Genomic DNA, 399 nt, shown 5'->3' on the forward strand with positions numbered 1-399 from the left:
TATAAACTCAAGGATCACTTCTTGAGGCAGAAATTTCCAACATCTTCTCTTAAAAATCAAGTGACGAGGGTTTTGAAATACCTAGCAGCACTGGGCTCTATTCCTATTTTCTCAAGTCCCTAGGGCTTGTGTCTTTATGGCTCTTTCTTAGAAAGACCATTTCCTACCAAGAGCCAACTGATTTGGCCAACACCAGCAGATGTACTCCATTACAACTAATAATGGGACTCAAGTACTTTAGAAGCTTTTACTAATTGAGCCGCTGAATATCCCTATGAAGTAGGTAACTATTATTGTCCCCAATTACTGTCAAGACGCTGAGCTGCAGAGACATTAAGTGGCTTGCCAGAATCGTGCAGTGGAGTCCCAGGCAGAGCAAGTTCCTGAACGGAGGATGAA

At 42.6% G+C, this 399-nt stretch overlaps 1 annotated feature.

Annotated features, from left to right (window-relative positions):
• Window positions 290-399: an enhancer, noted in NCBI's record as "active region_20088". NCBI's record gives its function as "activates an Ori minimal core promoter by ATAC-STARR-seq in GM12878 lymphoblastoid cells {active_cell/tissue: GM12878}" and the evidence as "EXISTENCE:reporter gene assay evidence [ECO:0000049][PMID:35858748]".

Source organism: Homo sapiens, chromosome 3 (assembly GCF_000001405.40).
Source record: "Homo sapiens chromosome 3, GRCh38.p14 Primary Assembly".
Classification (NCBI taxonomy): Eukaryota; Metazoa; Chordata; class Mammalia; order Primates; family Hominidae; genus Homo; species Homo sapiens.